Here is a 20,957-nt window from a genome sequence, read left to right as displayed (position 1 = left end):
CTTTCACGCTCTTCTTTCATTTTCTCCAGCTCTTCTTCTCTCAGGCCACCATGTTTCAGAGTACCTTTCTGCTCAGCCTTTCCACCCTTATCCTCTTTCTTCTTTCCAAATCTAGTGAAACGTGAAGGAGAAGGCTGTTAACAATAATCACATTGTTTTTGCGGTAGAGCTAAGATATTTATGGGATGAGCTCATTAAGTCATACTTCTTTATTCTAAGTAAGTCAAGATCATTTTGCATAAAATGGAACTAAAATAAGATAATGAAAGCAGAAAAATAATGCCATTATGAAATTCCCCCTTTTCTCTCTTCTTTCCTTCCTTCCTTCCTTCTTTTCACTCATATTTATCATGCATCATGCACAATATCACGTGCTTTTATGGAAGTCTGAGAAAGACAGAAACATCAGCTTGTTTTGTGATTCTTCTATTACTCAGGTTGCTTAGAGGTAGGACTTTCTTTAGTTTTTATTTTTTTTTTTTGAGACAGCGTCTCACTCTGTCACCCAGACTGAGGTGCAGTGGTGTGATCTTCGTTCACTGAAATCTCTGCTACCCGGGGTTCAAGCGATTCTCGTGCCTCAGCCTCCTGAGTAGCTGGGATTACAGGTTCACACCACCATGCCCAGCTAATTTTTGTATTTTTAGTAGAGACGGGGTTTCACCACGTTGGCGAGACTGGTCTTGAACTTCTGGCCCCAAGTGATCTGCCCACCTTGGCTTCCCAAAGTGCTAGGATTATAGATGTAAGCTACTGCCAGGACTTTCTTTAAAATGTGTACGTCAGGTCCTCCTGTGATGAGATTCTGATTCCCTTTGTATGTGTCGACAGAAGGTAGGGGAGAAGGGGCAGCCTAAGCATACATAATTTGAAAATTTTCCTTATTATTTAGATAGACAAATATTCAAGACTAATTATGATGACCTATTAATGCAATAGAGAGTGAGAAACTAAAGAATTATCATTAATATATAAATAAAAGCTTATCAATCTCCTAAGCAGGCTTCCCGAGCTCCAGTGTCATTGGCACTTAAAGGTAAACTCCTGGAATTACACCATGACAGTGCCACGAGAGGCCTTATTGAACACCTCGTTCAATGCTCTCATTTTACCAGTGAAGAACCAAAAGCTCTGAGAGGTGTCGAACCTTGACCAAGACCTCCCACCAGAGTCAGGGCAGGGCTGAGATTAGAACCCGATCTCTGCCTGTACGCTTTCCTTTATGCACAATCACTCTCTAATGCAGCCCCAGCTTCCTGAGTCAGCTCTGGAACACAATGAAAATATAATACAATTCCCCAGAAAGGGAGGTTTCTCTGGGTTAGTATGTTCTGAGCATTCCTGAGTGCCTGGGATGTATATAGTTACAAGGGCACAGTGGCAGTTATGATGCTTTACAAAAATACCATATATGTTTTGTACTTTTAGGAAAATGAAAACTGCACATTTGAAATAAAAAAAGAAGATGCAGCTGGGTGTGGTGGCTCACGCCTGTAATCCCAGCACTTTGGGAGGCCAAGGCAGGTGGATCACCTGAGGTCAGGAGTTCAAGACCAGCCTGGCCAACATAGTGAAACCCTGTCTCTACTAAAAATACAAAAATTAGCCGGGCGTCGTGGTGCATGCCTGTAGTCCCAGTTACTCAGAAGGCTGAGGCAGGAGAATCACTTGAACACAGGAGGCAGAGGTTGCAGTGAGCCGAGATGGCACCACTGCAGCCCAGCCTGGGTGACATAGTGATACTCTGTCTCAAAAACAAACAAACAAACAAAACAAAACACACACAAAAAACAAAACAAAACAAAACAAAAAAAACTTGGGGAGATTCCTAGATTTTTTGTTTTTGTTCTTTTGAGATGGAGTTTCACTCTTGTTGCCCAGGCTGGAGTGCCATGGCATGATCTCGGCTCACTGCAACCTCTGCCTCCTGGGTTCATGTGATTCTCCTGCCTCAGCCTCCCAAGTAGCTGGGATTACAGGCATGCACCACCATGCCCAGCTAATTTTTTGTATTTTTAGTAGAGACGGGGTTTCACCATGTTGGCCAGGCTGGTCTTGAACTCCTGAACTCAGCTGATCTGCCCTCCTTAGCCTCCCAAAGTGCTGGGATTACAGGCGTGAGCCACCGTGCCCAGCGATTCTTAGACTTTTTCAAATTATACATGTATGGGCCGGCTTCATACCCCCAACCCTGCCCCAGCACACACACAGAGAATCAGAGTCTCCTCACATGAGGACCTGACATATAAATTTTGAAGAAAGTCCTGTACTGTAAGCAATCAGAATAATAGAAGAATCATAAAACAAGCACATGTTTCTGTCTTCTTCAGAATCCCATAGCAATGGGCATCTATTTGCAGCTTCCTAGACTGTGTTTTGACCCATAGTAGAGGATGTTAGTCAAGTCGGAGCTCTGAGTATCACACCTGGAAGGTGGCATTGCTTATATTCATAATTGTGCCATGGTCCTGCCTTTCCTAGAAGCCTCTTCCAGTATTCTGCATGTTTCTCAACTTACTATTTCAATTAGCAAGTCTTCTTTCCTAAATTTTCTCCCTCCATTGCCATCTCTCCATCTCTCTCTACTCCTACTGTAGTTTTTTGGTTGTAGCCAGTCTAGTCTTGGGACTCTGGCGAACCAACTGTCAGCTCTAATGCTATCATCCCCCAGTCTAGTTTTTTGTCCTTTTCTCTCTTTCCTGATTCCCTTTCTGAATTTATTCCTTTTTTTTCACTGAAGAAATATCCATGTATCATTTACAGAAGTACGGAAAAGAGAAAAATACAGACAAAAATATAAGAACTTTCTTTCTTTTTTTGTTGAGACGTTGTTTCACTCTTGTTACTGAGGTTGGAGTGCAATGATGCGATCTCGGCTCACTGCAACCTCCACCTCTCGGGTTCAAGCGATTCTCCTGCCTTAGCCTCCCAAGTAGCTGAGATTACAGGTGCCCACCACCAAGCCTGGCTAATTTTTTTGTATTTTTAGTAGAGACAGGGTTTCACCATGTTGGCCAGGCTGGTCTCGAACTCCTGACCTCAGGTGATCTGCCTGCCTCGGCCTCCCAAAGTGTTGGGATTACAGGTGTGAGCCACTGTGCTCGGCCAGAACATTAACTTTCAAATATAATTCAGATTTGCCTGATACATTCAAGACTTCTCCTTAACCTACAAAGCAGGAGATAGCTAAATAATGTTTTCATGAATACATTCTTTAGCATTCCAGACCCATGCAGAAGAGTCTTAGGGGTCAACATTATTACTCTAAGTATGTTTACGTGAGAAGTTAATAGCTCAGTACATCACTTGAGATACATAACTTTTGCTTAAAATGTCATTAAATATAGTAATGTTTGGGCAAAATATTCAACACGGTGGGGAGTCAGGGTAGAAATAATGCTTTAGGAGGTTGATGAGGGCAAAAATTTTGCCAAAAGCTTTACAGGTATCAGGCTTTTCTTTTTTTTCCATGTCCCATATTATTTCTCCTATATTTGCAGCTTTTGGGATTTCTGAGGTAAAAGCAGTCTTGTTTTTGAAGGGTAAAACTAACCATTTCCTAGCCTACCTTGATGTTTATTACCACACCCAATAAATTATTTTTGTTTCTGGTAGCTAAAATGTTTGACTTGTACTGCAGTTCAGCAATAGCTCATTATCCTTCCCTCACAGTGGAATATGTTTGGTAAGAAAAAAAACATGTTAGTTGAAAGTAAATTCTGCAAAGTATTTTCTTCTTAGCAAGAACTGCCAATAACAGTCAAATCAAGCAATTCTACAAATATTATAAATGCTTTGATTTAAAGTTCATGATCCTCGATTCAAGTTTCCAATAAGAAGGGCAGAAATACATGTGAAATTTATTTTATTAGCCAGAGAAAATGATTACAAATTACCTTATTTTGTAAAGTTTGGGTAGGCCCAAGAAAAGCATTATAAAACAATAATCTTAAAAACAAAAACAAAAACTCCCGCATTGTTAAGATGAGGAAATTGAGACCCAGAGAAGTTAATTGCATTTTATTTATTAACACACTGAATTCTTTTTCATTTTGCAATAAGACAACTTAATTATCAGTAGTGGCAGTAGTGGACCGGGGGAGAGAGTGAGGGGGAAAGATTCAACTTGGTGACTTTCCAAGCCTTTGTTTTCCTTTCTGTAGCAGCCTTTGTGGGGATCATTTCACAGCCACTCTTACTTTTACTGAGATATAGAAAGAGGAATTGAGGAGGTTTATCTTCCCATTAGCTATTTTTGTGAGAAAAGTCACGAACCCTGAATGGCTAAAATTACTACTTTATATTCTAGAGTTTCAAATATGCACTGCATTCCAGGCCTCCCATTATCTGTTACCTTAGAAATTTGAGAGTTGGCAATTCTGGGCTAGGTGCCTTAAGGAAATTGCTTAGAGGTCAACCTTACTTTATATAAAAGATATTTTCCTAAAAAATTCTGTGCAAACATATGGCTTTAATCAATAAAATCTTTTTTTACATGTACCTGGGAAGCCTGTTTAAAGAATCTTATGATGGATCTTTTTTGTAAAGTGGAAAAATCACCTTTCAACATACGCTTTATGTAAATTTAGATGTTCATGAATTATAAGTTTGCTTAAAACACCTGTCCATTTCTCTGTTCATTTCTATAGAGGTCATATGAAACAGATTCATGGAAAAATCTTTCTTCTTTCCTTACTCGCTCTCTTTCAAAAAATATTTATTAGGTATCCACTAGCTGTCAGAAATTATAAGCAATTGATATAGGTTAATATTATGTTGGCATACAAAACCACACAATATCGTCATGAAATTTACATTCTAACAGAGGAGACAGTTACCAAACAAGTATATATCCATAATTGTTAGTTGTGATAAGTGCTGTAAAGGATGTTAGAAGAGACAATAACAGGGAAGTGACTGCCTGGGAAATGCCTCAGTGAAAAAAATAGATTTAAGCTGAGAATATAAGAGTGAGAAGTTCCAGACAAGTGAAGAGTGGGAGAAAAGTCTTGAGGGTGAAGGAAACAGCACATGCAAAGGACATGTGTGGGGAAGGCTTGATGTATTCAAAACAGTAAAAGAAGGCCAGAGGCTGGGAGATGAGAGAGGAAACTCCGCCAGGATGCAGATGGAAAAGCCAATGGGGACAGGTGTGAGAGAAGCTTGTGGTTTAATCTAAGAGTGATGGGAGGTCATTTCTCAGTCATTCAAGGCGCAGAGAAGCTAGGTGAGGAAACTAGGAGACAGAGTTAGTGGAGGAGAAACGGCAGAGGAACCAAGTGTTTTGAGCAGAAGTGATACAATGTGATGAATATTTTAAAAAGACCATCCTGATGCTGAAGTAAAAAGCAGCAAGTAAAAGCAGTAACATAATTAAAACCAGTGATTTAACTGACTGGGGATCCCTGCAGGAATCGGTGAAAGATGACAGTGGCTTGAACTAGAGAAGTGGCCATTGAGAAGAGAAGATAGTCATTTGGAAATGGTGAGTCAATGAAGAGGTATCAAAAGATTCAATTTAAAACATGATTATTATTGTAATATATCTTTGGGAAATTCCAGTAGATGAGTCCATGCCTAAGTCCTGAAAAACTGTAACACTTAAAGATCAGAGACACGAGTGGGGGTTGGGGGAGAGGCAGGTGGACAACAGAGATAGAGAAAGAACAGCAAGAGAGCTAGAAAGAAAGTCAAGAGAATGTGGTTGCAAAAGAGTTTAAAGAATGCTGCAAGAAGATGGACAAAGTCAACAGATGGGAATGCTGCTGAGATGCCCAACGAGGTGAGGACTGAAAAGCGTTCATTAGATTTGGCAACATAAAGTCATTCATAGCCTTGGCAAGGGTCAGCGGAGTAGTGTGAACAGAAGCCATGTAGGCATGATCTGAAGAGTGAATGGTGGGTAAGTATAAGTGTCTGTACAACCATTATAGACTGGGTAATGGTTGGCTGGGAGGGAGGTAGCTGCAGGTGCAGTCGAGTGCTGAAGATGGAGGTTTTCAATTTGGCTTATACCATAGAATATTTCAGTTGCTGAAAGGAAAAGAGAGTGAGAGGTCGGAGATGGAGGACAGAGAAGAATAAATTTCTTTTCCCTCTTTATTAAGGTAAAATATACGTAACATAAAATTTACCATTTTAGCTATTTTTCAGTGTACATTTCAGTGGCATTAAGCACATTCACACTGAGAAACCATCACACTATTCATGTCCAGAATTTTTCATGATCTCAAATGGAAACTGTGTACCCACTCTACATATAGTAACTCCCCACTCCCTCCTTCCTCCAGTGCCTGGTAACTGCTATTTGACTTTCCTTCTCTATGAATTTGGCTATTCTATGTGAAATTCATATAAGTGGGATCACAGAAAATTTATTCGTTTGTGTCTGGCTTATTTAACCTAGTAGAAGGTCTTCAGGACTCATCTTTGTTGCAGCATGTGTCAGAATTTCATTCCCTTTTAAGGCTGAATAATATTCCATTGCAGTTACACAACCATATTTTGTTTATCCACTCATCCACTGATGGACATTTGGGGTTGTCTCCATCTTTTGGCTATTGTAAATAAGGCTGCTATGAACATTGGCATAGGAGATGAAAGTTCTTGATAAGGGAGGAGGATAGAGATAGTGTCTCTGGAGAGATTAGCCTTAGATGGAAGGAGACTCAGAAAGATCAGCAGCCTAGGAGAGGAAAATAGCTTGTTTATGGAGCTGGTAAAGAGAAAGTAGAGGAATTCCAGGGCATTTAATTTATCAGTTAATGTGATGCAGCATGTATAAGAAAAATGGTTTCTATCCACAAAATGAGATCTCTTAGTAGAATTTAAGAAATCAAAGATTGAATTACCCAAGGTAGACAAGAACCTCAGAGAGGGTTATAGAAAAACCCCCCACACAGACCTCCTTAATGTTGTTATATTGCCTAGGTAGGGGGGTTGTGAACAGCCATCTGGAAAAGTGGAATTTGATAATGGTTTGTTCATTCATTCATCCATTCATTCCTTACTGAGCAGCCACTACACATCACAATAGCCAATGCACACAGAATTGAACCATTAACAACATAAATTGTCAGGTAAATATCTAACCCCTCAATTAAACTAAGTCCCTAGAATCCTATTTTTTCTATATAATAAAGATTTTAATATTATTCTTAATAGTTTTCTCCTAGTTTCTCAGCAAATATTTTCTTCTGTTTCTATTTCTTTCCTTGGGTTTTCTAAGTAATGATGACATTCAAATTCCTCCTAGACTCCCATACATACGCTGATGAATGATTCAAATTTACAATATGTACAGCTTGTCCTCTGGCATTTTTCCTGTCTACTCTCTCATTTAGTTCACTTCTTAAGGTGGCTACATTCTGTCTATCTACAACTTTCCTCCCACATCACACTGGGCAGTTTATGCAGTTATTACCACCAACCTACATCCTCTTAGTGCACACACTATACAAAAGTGATCCTGAGCAATGTCCTGTGAGAACTAAAAAGTCAGGCAAGGAAAAAGTTCATTCACTCTTGTTCAAAATAGCTGCTTAGCTATGAATCCAAAGAGAGCTGAAAAGTTTGAAACAAAGTCTGTATATCTCCTTCTCCTATCAGGAAACGTCTTTGGGTGTCTATGATGCATTTGGAAAAAACTGCAACATCTAGTCATCGCTACTATTAAAGTCTGACATCTGTGGAACAATGTCACATGTGAAAACCTACAAACTTCACAGTCATAGTATTTTCTGGACCTGGATGATTGTTTGTCCACTCTGTAACTAGCTGACTTACAAACTAGGCATGATAGCTCCTTACATTTTATAAATTACACAGTTTGAAATAGTTCAAGCAAAATATAGGGGCAGAGAAGTTCATAGGCCCTTTACTATTATTTCCATAGTTGATTCTGAAATTCACCCTATAAAAGGTTTCTCTTGTCAGATGTATTCTAAATTGGGTTCTGAATTAGCATACGCATATGCTGATGAAATTAACTTCCATGTATTGTAATCTCATATGGTTTTGTGAACCGCAGCTTTTGCTTCTAAAATTTGTGTCACGAAGGTCTTTTCTTGTTTATCTCACATGGTTCCATTGTACTTGAGAGTTAATGAGACTGATAAAAATTCAGTGAAAATTGACCAATTAGAGTTCCCATCCCAACCCCTTTTTGGGGGTCCCTAAGGACATTACTCACTTTTATGTTAATATTATTGATAGAATAATAAACAGATTTGTGTTTGTTGCACATCAATCTTCATTAAGAAGGAAAAATATTCTAATTCTATTTCTGGTCCCCCACACTGCCTTGGCTATGCCTGTAGCTTTTAAAGAGGGAGGCAAAATGCTACAAAACCCAGGATGCTTTTCACAACAGTAGGGCTGTGTTTTAAACTCTAAATCCGTTCCATGGCATGCAAAAGTAGATAGGGATTTGCCTTGTAGGATGTGTACACAAGTAGAAACTGAGTGAGTTGATGCTTTAATAACGAACGACAAACTCAATATTAAAAATCTTCCTAATTAATCCTAACTGGGTCAGGCAGTTTAAACCCTGAAATTAAGTTTTCTAATTAAATTTTTAAATTTTGATATGTTATTTAGACATTTATCCTGGGTATGTTTATATGTTTCCAAGATGATGACAAGCTATATGAAAACAACAAACCTGTTTAATCCCACTGGTATCTGTGTCTGCTACCCTCTTTAAGGCCAACCTTTTTTATCCAGCCAAGATGTAGCAGCTACTTTTCTCTGGGTTGTCACTCATTTCTAGAATGTGGCCCTGAAATTGGTGGTCATGGCAATTTCTCATTCTGAATCAGGGAATCTTCAGATCTCAAATATGTTGATGTTTGTTTTTAGGATTAAAAAGCAGGGAGGTCCTATAACGTTCTACAACTTCTAAGTGGATAAAACATCTGCTGGGGAGAGCCTTAAGCAGCTCTCTAGCTAAATTCAGCTGCTGGGAATCCCTGAGCTAATTTGCTTTCCCCATACCGAGGGGCTAGGAAATGCAATGGATTTAGAAATACCAGATACGTTAAAAATAATTCTAGAGGGTCCAGAAAGTAAAGTAAAGCACAGATCACCAATAACTAATATTTTTTAAACCAAACAAACAAAAGAGAGAGCCTCTGAATGGACGATTTGTAAGAAAAGTTAAGAGATTTGTTAGACACTGGATATTGCTTTTGCTGAGCTTTCTGTAGCAAATAAAAACTGTACTCTGAGATTATTAAAGCAGCACTCTGTTAGGGGGAAAAAAAGGGAAACTTATGAAAAAAAGGCCAGAAATTAAAATTAAATAAAAATAAGCGTGAATGAGTGGGCAAGAAAGATAAAGATACTAATAAGGTATGATTTTCAGATCCAAACAGGGACTCTAAAAAGCTTATTCACTGTCATTGAGTTTTAAGTTATTCTACCCCTCTGCTTTCCAGAAGAAGAAATACTCTTCAGGAGCGCAGTGAACTTTGATTAATTGCTTTCATACACTTTCACTGGCTTCAAAACATGGTAGTCAAGAGCCTTAGTGACTCAGATGAAATGCTTACGATTTCTGGGACAGATATTTAACAGGAACATTATGGAAATAGATCTTTTTGCATTTTTTATGTTTTCTTAATAGTTAAAAAAGCTTTTCTTTTTGTTAAATGTTTACTTATTTCAAAGCAGTAGAAAATATGTCTTCTTCCTTTTCATGATTATGATTTTTAAGTGGATCTTCGGGCTTTTCTGAAGGCTGGTTGAGTAAATAGACACAACTGATGGCATGTGCATAAAGCCCTAACACTGCCTTAAACAGATCACATGGCTGGAATTCAGACTTCAGTCAATAGCCAGATACTGCCTTCGCATTTGTGCGCCCACAACATCCCCTTCTTCCTCTTTCCTTCCCTTTTCTCTACCTCCTTTGCCCCGGAAACCCGAAAACTAGGAAAGGAAAGAGTGTTTTGAGACCAAACCATACTTCACTGCTGAACTTTCTATCAACTGTGGGAGGTTGCCCGTTTGACTTGCCCTTCCCAGGCCCAGTTGGCCCCAGCTTGCTCCACACTGGCCACAGATTCATCCTGCAGAAGGAAATGGTCCCCACAGGAAACAGCTCTGAAGTTACCATTGACAGGCAAATGGGGTCATCTCAGCAAACTGCCCAGAAAGGAAAAAACTGACTCATGTCAAAGAAAATAAATCCAACAAGGGCTAACTAAAAATTCTGTGGAAGCTGGAGGCCTCATCTGCAGTCTCTAAATAAAACATCAAATACAACTTACTTTCCATAGCATAAAGTAACACATGGGCAATTTGTATATATTCCATGATCGGAACGAACAGATGATGGTGTCTGCCTTGTTATGCATGGAGAACAAACGGACAATATGAAGAAATGATTTTTTTTTTTATAATTACCTTGCAAAGGACCATTTTAACAGGAATCCTGAATCCTACTGTTCCATCTTCAGATGTTAAGAGAAACAGGGCACATTTTCTATGGAATTCATCTGCACTAAACAAGAATAAAATGATTGGGCTCCAGACCCAGTCTAATGGGAGTAAAACTTATCTTTATAACTGATTAAACAAAAAAAATTATCACTTCTTTGATGCCCAAATTCGCATCTTTTCTCTAGCATACCGAATTAATTAGTTGAGTGACAAAAGAATTAGTCCATGTAGGATCACAGCTGAAATCATATTTATCTGAAATTTAAAATTAAGAACACACAGCATTAACCCTTTATAGCTCATGTAATATTCTTTTATGTTCCATGTATTCCAAACCTGCTGCACATCACAGAAAGTATAACTAGAGCTTTTTTTTTTTTCATATTCTTCTTCTTTCTAATATATAAAATTTTGCCTGGAAAGACAATGAGAACATCATAGAATTGTTTTTTCCCCTGGGGGTAAGAAACTTTTCCATTGTGTCATAAAAATCTTAAATTATGTAGCTTTTTTTTTTTGTCAAGCATTTATTGTATAAATACAAAAGAAGAAAAATAATTAATGCATGGTAGAGCTGGTAAGAGAGGCTTAAACAATAAAAAGAGTTATTATATTAATTCTTAATAAGCTATATTAAGTTTGAAACTGTTATTAAAAGGTGAAAGCTCTCAACTTTGATTTTTAAAAAGTTTGTTTTGTTTTCCATAAATGTAAAAGCAATTTTGAATAAGGGAAATTGTTGGGGGTTAATTTCTGAGATGTCTCAATTCAACAGAACTCAAATTTATTCCTCGAATGAAATTTAAACCCAAAGCCATCTTTAAAGATGATTAATCTGCAAGATGTCTTCTATAAAAAACATGATGTCTATCTCATACTTAGACCTTTCATTCCAGAGTTTCAGAAATTATGGCCTCCTTAATCTAAAGTATCAAATAAATATATGTGTCAAGTTGTTGCTTTGCTCTCTAAAGTTTTGACGCTACACATCTTTGACATTAGATTGCATCCTACCATTAAGAGAATTTTAAATAACAGGCCGGGCGCAGTGGCTCATGCCTGTAATCCCAGCACTTTGGGAGGCCGAGGCGGGAGTTCAAGACCAGCCTGGCCAACATGGTGAAACCCTGTTTCTACTAAAAATACAAAAATTAGCTGGGCATGGTGGCATGTGCCTGTAATCCCAGCTACTTGGGAGGCTGAGGCAAAAGAATCCCTTGAACCTGGGAGGCGGAGGTTGCAGTGAACCGACATAGCGTCATTGCACTCCAGCCTGGGTGACAAGAACGAAACCCCGTCTCAAAAAGTAATAATAATAAAATAATAATAATACCTCCATTTGTATGTACTCTTTCATAGAAGAGTTCTTTTGAAGAAAGAGGTAATTGGAAAATATGAGCCCTAACTTAGTTTGTAAGGCAAGGGATCAGATTTCAATATTTTGATGTTAAAGTTAACTAATATCTCTTTTTATTGTGTAAGTACCTTAAAAGTAGGCCATAAAATGGAACTGATTCTCAACTACCAATAAACTTAGAAAAAAAAATTTATATCCTGAATGTCTCAAATGAAATTCTACATAAGACAACATTGACTCTTCTAGGGCCAACAAGTCACAAGTTTCTATGAAATTTGTCAAACGAATGTTGCCTACAAGGATCTCCATTCGTTTCTTAAAAGTTTAGAACCACCCCCTCTTTCCTTAGCTTCTCCTTTGAGTTTAGAAATTTGGGATCTATGAGCAAGACAGAGTTACCAACTGCAAAATGAGGAGTAATTCATTATTTTAAGTATAGTTGTTATCCATTCATTGAACCACATCATGAATATTCTAGGCACCCTCCAGGACCCATAGCACCTTATCTGGAAGGAGCTGACCTAGTGTGATGGGACAGTCATTTCGGGGCCATTGTGATCAACAACATTTCCCCTTTATCCAGAGGGGCCTGAACAAAAGACAAGTTTTTTTTTCATAGAAATAGATTTCCCATGGGATTTTAATATAGTTTTATAAAAGTAGATATAATTCCATTCTCCAGCAGCATAATATCACTAAAGCAAATATATCCAGAATTAAACAACAACAACTTGATTTCTAACAGGGTTTTCTAATCACCTGTAATTCAGAAAGAGCTATTACAAACAACACACAATCACAAAAGTATTGTATACTCTCACCTGGAAATGCATGGTAGCTTAGCGCATAGTGATGATTTACAATTTGACCAAAGAAATCAGAAATTGATTTATAGTCTGTCCACAGCATCAGCCTCCTATTTGCTTGTCTACTAGACTGTGAAACTACTATTCTGCTATGTAAGTGTATTTTGTTCTTCCTCCCTTTCCTGTACCAATGGCTAATTTTTCCTTTCTTCAATACCACAGATGAGTAATTCCTGCAGATGCAGAATACTCTTCCACAGTTCAAAATGGCTGCCAGTGTTCTCACAGAATAACAAAAGAAACCGGTGCTAGGAATTGTTGTGTATATATAATTAAATGCACAATCCTAGGAAGCACATAATTAAATCAACCAGAGGTCTGAGCCTCTGAGTGGAACATTCCAGATGGGGTCTCTGGTGAGCATACCTTTAAAAGAAATGTGGGTGACTCTCAATCAAGTAAATTTACCAGAGAGTGTTTCCTCATCTCTGGGGCTCTTTTTAAAAATGAGATAAATTTTGGATCCTATCACATAAAGAACTGATATTGAAAACTTCTGCCCAGCTACGTGTTTATTCAGATGACAGAGGTGTCTCATAATCTGCCATAATGCATTAAAAACTGGCAGCCTGTGTTTCTGAACGGCTCTGGAAGGTGCAGGGAACACCAGCAGCGTCACTCAGATGACGGCTGGACTGGCAACCATTACCCAGAGCATCTGCAACCTGTATTTGGCTTTGGATTTAATGCTTCTGGTCTCCCCATTTTTAGTATTTCTAAACTTCCCCACCTAATATTGAAGTGACCTCCAATAACTAATCCTTTTTACAAACATTACAGTCATATTTGATTCTGTAGAAACCCACAGTATTTGTGCTTTTCATTTTGGAAGGTTATTTGGAAACTCGAGCCAATATATTTTTTCAAGTGTGACTAAGCTGTTGTCATTCATTTTACACCAACCCTAACACTCTCCAGGACCCATCCTACTGAGCTCCACATGCTCACTAATCCAGTCAATCCAGTGATGGAAGAATCACTTTGGATAAAAGAACAATAAATCCACCCATTATCTCAGTTCTATAAAAGTAATATTTGAGTGCATCAGTAAGAAAGAAAAGAAAGAAGAACCAGAAAAATGAACAATTTGGTAAGGAAAGCCTGAGCTTAAATTATTTAATCTAAATTTAGCAAGTTAGAGGGAGGAGAGGTAGTTCTACAAAGGCCATATTAATGGACCCAAATCAGAAGATTCATGAATAGTAATTCCAAAGCAATTTCATTAATGTCTTGCATCTAAAACAATGATTATTTAAGAAGGCAACATTTTCAAGGGGATTCATAAGTGCTTTGAAATATAAAATGCCATTAAGAACCAATCACATAGTATATAGAACTATGGTCTATGTATTTATAAATGTATTGGATTTCTGTGTGAAATATGCATATTATATACTGACTGACTTTATGCAAGCACCAACATATTTCAAAAATAAGCTTGTTCAATAAATACTTTCGAAATATTGTTTAATTATCTACCTCTGTGAAAAATATTCCATTTTCATTTTTAGTTAGGAAGAAATCTGTTGCAAAATATTTTTATTGGTTTAAAAATTAAGAGGTAGTTTCTTAGGGATAGGGGGATCTGTGAGATCATGTTTATCTAATCCCTCCCAAAGCTCAGAAAGTCAAGTGACCTACCTAAGGTCACACTATCACACTAAGTAGCTGGGATCAAACAGGGACCTGAACCCCTCAACTCAGCACAAAGTTCTTTCCCTCCTGCTCGGTGCCCCAGTTGTTTGTACATATGTTGTCAATTATGAACTGAAAAATCTGAATCCTTCAACAACAAAAAAAAAAAACTCTACTTAATTAAAGTTTCATTTTTTTTTGGTAAGTTCTCATTGCTCAGAAATGCAATTAGCCATAATGACAAAGTCCAATTTATTGACTACTTGGCCAAATATAAAATGCCAACCAACCTGCAGACTGGATAACTTTCCCCTTATCCTAAGCTCTCTGTTCACTGACATCCTCACGCTTGTTCACAGACAGAGTCTTATTATAAGCCATCTGATTTGATCAGATTGCTAAGAAACAATTACTCAATTATTTAGCTCAATTGGTTAGAACACTGTGGTAATGGGGTCAAGGTCATGGGTTGGCTCCCCTGTGTGGGCCAGTTAACTTGGATCTTTTCCATTACCACAGGCTCTCCTCCCAACCCCAGAGAGTCTTAAAAATACATGCCAGTGGTCAAAAGGGCACTTGCCAAGAATATGTGGATGGAGCAGCATGAATCCATCACTTCTCCCGGAAAAACAGCTCAATGCCAGTTTTGTTGACCATATGTGGATTAACAGTAACATTTTCACAGGTGAAAGACAAAACACGATTCCAGACTTTGTAATATCGCAGAATTGCAGATCTAGAGCTCTAAAAGAAATTTGTAGAATATATAAAAGCCTATCATGAAACTTAAATTTATAGAGAAAGTTTTAAACATGAGCCAGTGATTTCTATTAAAAATATTTTTGAAATTAAAAATTTGTTTAGTGAAATACCTTGATTTTTAAATATTGGCTCATGTTTTTTAAAAATTAATACTCTGTGGCTTCCAAATAAGGTCTACATGGGTCAAATTCAGGCTGTGGGATCCCAATTTGCAAAGTATTGGTATACTGAAATACCTATATATTTATATGTACGTATATATGCATTTTAATTAATGTAGCTACCTTAAGTATATCTCATTGAGCTTTTCACTGACTGGTAGCTACTAGCCTAGGCCTCAACTAATGTTGAGTCAGGGGGGTCAGAAATGACACAGACAGCATGGGGCTGTGCTACCTACCTTTCAATGGTACCATTATCTGATGTAAAAGAGATTAGCGTGGCGAGATGTAAAAGAGATTGGGTAGCACTTGGTAGATGAAGTAGAATCACACTAGGCTTCCAAAACTCAGGCTAAGTATATTTTTTAGAATACTGAACATACGGATTATCAGTGTTTTTCCAGAAAGCCCTCTATAGGAATTTATAAATTAACGAAGCTGGAACATGTCCATTCTAAATAATGACACAGTTTTTGCAATTTAGACTGTGTACCAAAGTTTAAAACACTAACATAAAACGTTTTTGTTAAGATTTCACACTGCATATTGTTCTTTTCCAAATCAGTCAAACTCTCCCTGTATCAGGTAGCAAGAGAAGGGGCAATATATTTCTAGGTTTTACAGGGATTTAGGAAAGAAAGGCATGTGGTGTGAGTATAAGAAGTACTTGAAAAAAAGTACTGCATAAACTCACTTGAATTTGGTAATTTATTAGCTAATTAACTGATATATGACAAAGCTTTGTGGATTCCTGCAAACTAAATTATGTATCTCACAAACAACATAAGCTAATCAGATTTCTTATTGTATCAGTAGACTAAGAAATCCTATCAGCCTAAAAATATCAAATTAATTCGGGAAGTATTTTTCAAATACCTATTATACAGGCTCTAATGTGAGGTGCTGGAGATTAAAAAAAAAGGTTCAATATTTTCTCTTAAGGAATTTATAGTCTAGTGAATGTTTCTAGAGTTCAAAGGAAGATCTCCCAGAAACAGAGTATGAGGGCTCTCAGGGTTAGTATGTCAGCATTACAGGAGTTCTATAGATGATCTTGCTGGTCAAAGGCCTTAATTTTGTTTGCTTTACACTTTTGAACTGTGATGGAAACTATGGTTCTCTCTCCCAGGAAATGTGTATACATTTCTATTTATAATTTCTAAGAGTTCACAGATTCCCAAAAGACTATGTATACCTATCCATGTATGTTAAGTTACAAATGCCTGCGTTAATGCAATTAAGATTCTCCCCATACCACAAATTAACCTCAGGCTTTGCCGTGGAGAGCACATAGACACAGCTAGGAAGGAAAATAGAGCTAGGAGGTTGGCAGTTTCTGAGTAGGAGTATATTATTTTAGGTGGACTTTTAGGACTGACCATAAGTCCATCATTGAATCAACAAGTACCAAGCATTATATAGGAATCAAAAATAGTCAAAGACACAAAATCCCTACTCAGATCTATTTTACTAGAGTGTCATCAATTCTCAGTGACTCAGAGGCTTTTTATCTCCTATGTAGATTACCCACAGCCTGTGCTTCCCCTTTTTCTCTGTCTTTCCATTTTTATGGTCACCTGAGGACTCATTAGTGCTCCTACCAGAGGATAAGTAAAGGAAGGGAAAGGATATAAAACTTAAAGTGAGTCAATTTTGCTACCTTTAAGTAGTTGAGGGAAGAAGAAGTAGCTATTATAAGGCTTGCAGATTATGTGAAGATTTCAATTATCCATTCTCTCTCTGTCAAACTTACCAAAAATAATTAAGGGTTGGCTGTAACCCTCCTTGGAATGTTAAAATGACTGATGGTTGTGGCAAGTAACCACAGTAAATAAGATGAAGTGAGGTAAACTGTGCTAAGGGGAGATAAAAAACATAGTTTCAAGTCAGTTTCAGAGTCCCAAAGGAGCAATCCAATAAGCATCAAGCCAGTGGGCAATTTTATAAATATAAACATTAGATGCATGGGCAAGAATCACAAATTAGGTTAGAAGAAGGAAGTAAACACCCATGCAACAGTATACTACTCACACGGCAACCTATGAACACCAAGTACATTTTGCTAATGAAAGAAGCCAGATCCAAAAGGCTACATATTGTCTGGTTCCATTCATTACATACCAGGAAGATGAAACCACAGAGATGGAAACCAGATCAGTGATTTGAGGGGTGAGGGGGAAATCTGGGGTTATGGAACTATTCTGTATCATGACTGTGGATGCATGACTCTTTGCACTTGTAAAACCCATAGAACTGTATACAACAGAGTGAATTTCACCGTATGTACATTAAAACAATCAACCAAGGTATGGAGGGAACCCAAACAGATATACAAACTATAACAAGTGAAGCTAATGTTATTACAAATAACTAACATAACCACACTGAAGGGCTTGAGAAAGAAAATAACTAAGTATCATTAGAAAACCGTATTTTGAGAAAATACCACAAAGCTAAAGGCAAAAAGAAATGTACACAAGTACTGCACTCTGCTTAGTACTAGGGTATGGATTAGCAATTCTGAAAAAAAATTTATGAATATATGAGGGTTGAACAAATAATTATATTGCAGATAGTCAGAGACAGCTTTCTTACTGCATGAGAAAGAAGTTACAAATAATGAAAGAGGAAGAGGCTAGAATGATTACTGTGGTATTGGATTAGAATTGGAGGTATCAGTATAAACTCATGGTTTTTTAATGTGCATACAGATAGATTTGGAAGTAAATATAGATATGTGTAGACATAGTTTAGATCGATCTATCTATCTATCTATCTATCTATCTATCTATCTATCTATCTATCTATCTATCTATGTAAACTTTCCAGGTTCTGTTTCCTGAGAGAGTCTAGAAACAATGATACTCAAGCAATGAGTATTCCTAGAGCTCAGATCTTGGTTTCTACAATAAAGGAGCCAGACTTCCTCGGAGAAGTGGTTCATTCCTGGGCTGTGGCGGGGAACCTATGAGGTAAACTTACAGCATTTCACGGTGCCAAAAAATAAGAAACTTCTTCAAAAGGTATGGACAAGTTAAAATGGAACATGAGCTATCCTGAAAATGCTCCCAGTGGCCAATACTGAATAATCTGAGCAACAAAATAAATGATAGGCCTAGATTATAACCCTTAGAATAAAATAAATATCCATGAATCTCATAATGACATAACTAAGCGAATAGAGACATTAGTGGTGGGAGAAAGTATAGTTCTTCCTTAGATAAGAATTCCAATTAATGAATGTAGAAGGAATTAGTGCAACAGGAAATCACCATTGAAACACCATGGTAACTATTGCTACTGACAAGAACCACTAATGGATGGTAAAAGTTGTGGGTGAAAACATGAAAAGAAACAGGATATTTGCATAGTTTCAAAATATCTTCCCCAAGATATGTATTAATTACAAAGGGAAAAATCGTAACTTCATAGTGAAGAAACCCAGCGGACATGGCTTAATGAAATGATCAAGATGAACATCACTAGTTATAAGATACATCAACATCATGTACTTCCTAAGAAGAGTATATCACTTCAGCAGTATTCAAGCCAAAAATGCATAACCTCAATCTAATCATGGTAAGAAAAACCCAAATTGAGTGACATTTTACAAAATAACTCACTACTACATTCCAAAGTAACAAGGTCATGAAAGATAAGGAAAAAGGGAAGAACTGTCACATAGCTAGCACAGGGGACCAAGGAGTTACAACAAATAATGCAATGTTGTATCCTGGATTAGATACTGAAACAGAAAAAGGACATTAATGGAAAAACTGGTGAAATTCAAATAAGTTTTGTAGGTTAGTTAATAGTTTTGTAACCATGTTAATTTCTTAGTTTTGGTCCTCTGTACCATCGTTACGCACTATTTTAACATTGGGGGTAATTATTGGGTAAAAAGTATATGAAAACTGTGCTACTTCTTTGCAAATTTCTGGTAGTCTAAAACTGAAAAAGTTTTAAACAACAAGAAGGAAAAGGAGAGAAATGATTAGGAAAGGTTAAAGAAGGAAATGCATAGTTATTTCTGTTCTGCTTGATGCATCCCTCTAGTTTCTTGTTAGACCTTGTACTAATTCCCCTTTCCTACTCATTAACTGCAGTCCTCCCCCAAACAGAAATATATACATTGTCTACATGTTTCTGAGCTTTTCAGATATAGGTTTATTAATTTAATTGTCTACCAATACATACCACTCTCCGTTCGCTTTTATTGGTTGGGAAATCACTAGATTCAAAGGAAACGGACATGAAGCTAGAGCATAAGCAATGGAGATGGGAAGACTGGCATTAACGCTAGCTGGAAGGATTACTCTAAAACAGTACAAACAAGTGGTAAAGATGACGAGCAGAAATGGGTAAAACTAGAGGAGACAAATTAGTAGATATGCAAACCATAAATATACAGTACCTTCCGACCTTCCAAAGCTTGGCATTATCTACTTTGAACACAGCCTTTTGAGGAAGTTACTACTTAACGACATATGTAATTAGCAGATCTATTATGGAACACTTGATTTTGATTAGCAAGCATTGAAGAAATGCAAATATGAGCAGCAGTTGTCATTGTGACAAAAAATTGTGAATTTTGTGTGTACTATATACCATGGGCAAATAAATGTCCACATATATATTATATATATAACATATATTCTTTTTATATATATTATATATAATATATATTCTTTATATATTATATATAATATATATTCTTTATATATATTATATATTCTTTATATATATTATATATATTATATATTCTTTATATATAATATATATAATATATATTCTTTATATATTATATATTCTTTATATATAATATATATAATATATATTCTTTATATATAATATATATTCTTTATATATAATATATCATATATATTCTTTATATTATATATATTCTTTAGATATTATATATAATATATTCTTTAGATATTATATACATTATATATTATATATATTCTTTATATATTATATATATTCTTTATATATTATATATATTCTTTATATATTATAATGTATTCTTTATATTATATATAATGTATTCTTTATATTATAATGTATTCTTTATATAATATATAATATATTCTTTATATATTATATATAATGTATATTCTTTATATATTATATATATTCTTTATATATAGTATATATAATGTATATTCTTTATATATAGTATATATAATGTATATTCTTTATATATAGTATATATGTTTATTCTTTATATATTATATATAATATATATTCTTTATATAATATATAATATTCTTTATATAATATATATAATATATATTCTTTATATATTATATATAATATATATTCTTTATATATTATATATAATATATATTCTTTATATATTATATATAATATATATTCTTTATATATTATATATAATATATATTCTTTATATATTATATATAATATATATTCTTTATATATTATATATATGTATTCTTTATATAATATATAATATATATTCTTTATATATTATATATAATATATATTCTTTATATATTATATATAATATATATTCTTTATATATTATATATTATATATTCTTTATATATTATATATAATATATATTCTTTATATAATATATAATATATATTCTTTATATATTATATAATATATATTCTTTATATATTATATATAATATATATTCTTTACATAATATATAATATATATTCTTTACATATTATATAATATATATTCTTTACATATTATATAATA

General features: G+C 35.7%; 1 protein-coding gene across 16 annotated transcripts in view; it reads right to left on the bottom strand.

Moving 5' to 3' along the window:
* PARD3B (par-3 family cell polarity regulator beta) overlaps positions 1-20,957 on the bottom strand; it is a 1,074,688-nt gene that overhangs the window by 219,039 nt on the left and 834,692 nt on the right. For all 16 annotated transcript variants that reach the window (XM_047443208.1, NM_001302769.2, NM_205863.4 and 13 more), the window contains one exon: positions 1-111. In XM_047443208.1, the coding sequence (XP_047299164.1) occupies positions 1-111 (111 nt within the window). The remainder of the gene's footprint in view (positions 112-20,957) is intronic.

The sequence above is a fragment of the Homo sapiens genome, chromosome 2, assembly GCF_000001405.40.
Source record: "Homo sapiens chromosome 2, GRCh38.p14 Primary Assembly".
Lineage (NCBI taxonomy): Eukaryota > Metazoa > Chordata > Mammalia > Primates > Hominidae > Homo > Homo sapiens.
The sequence above is the reverse complement of the archived record's forward strand: the minus strand, read 5'-3'. Positions and strand labels throughout refer to the sequence as shown.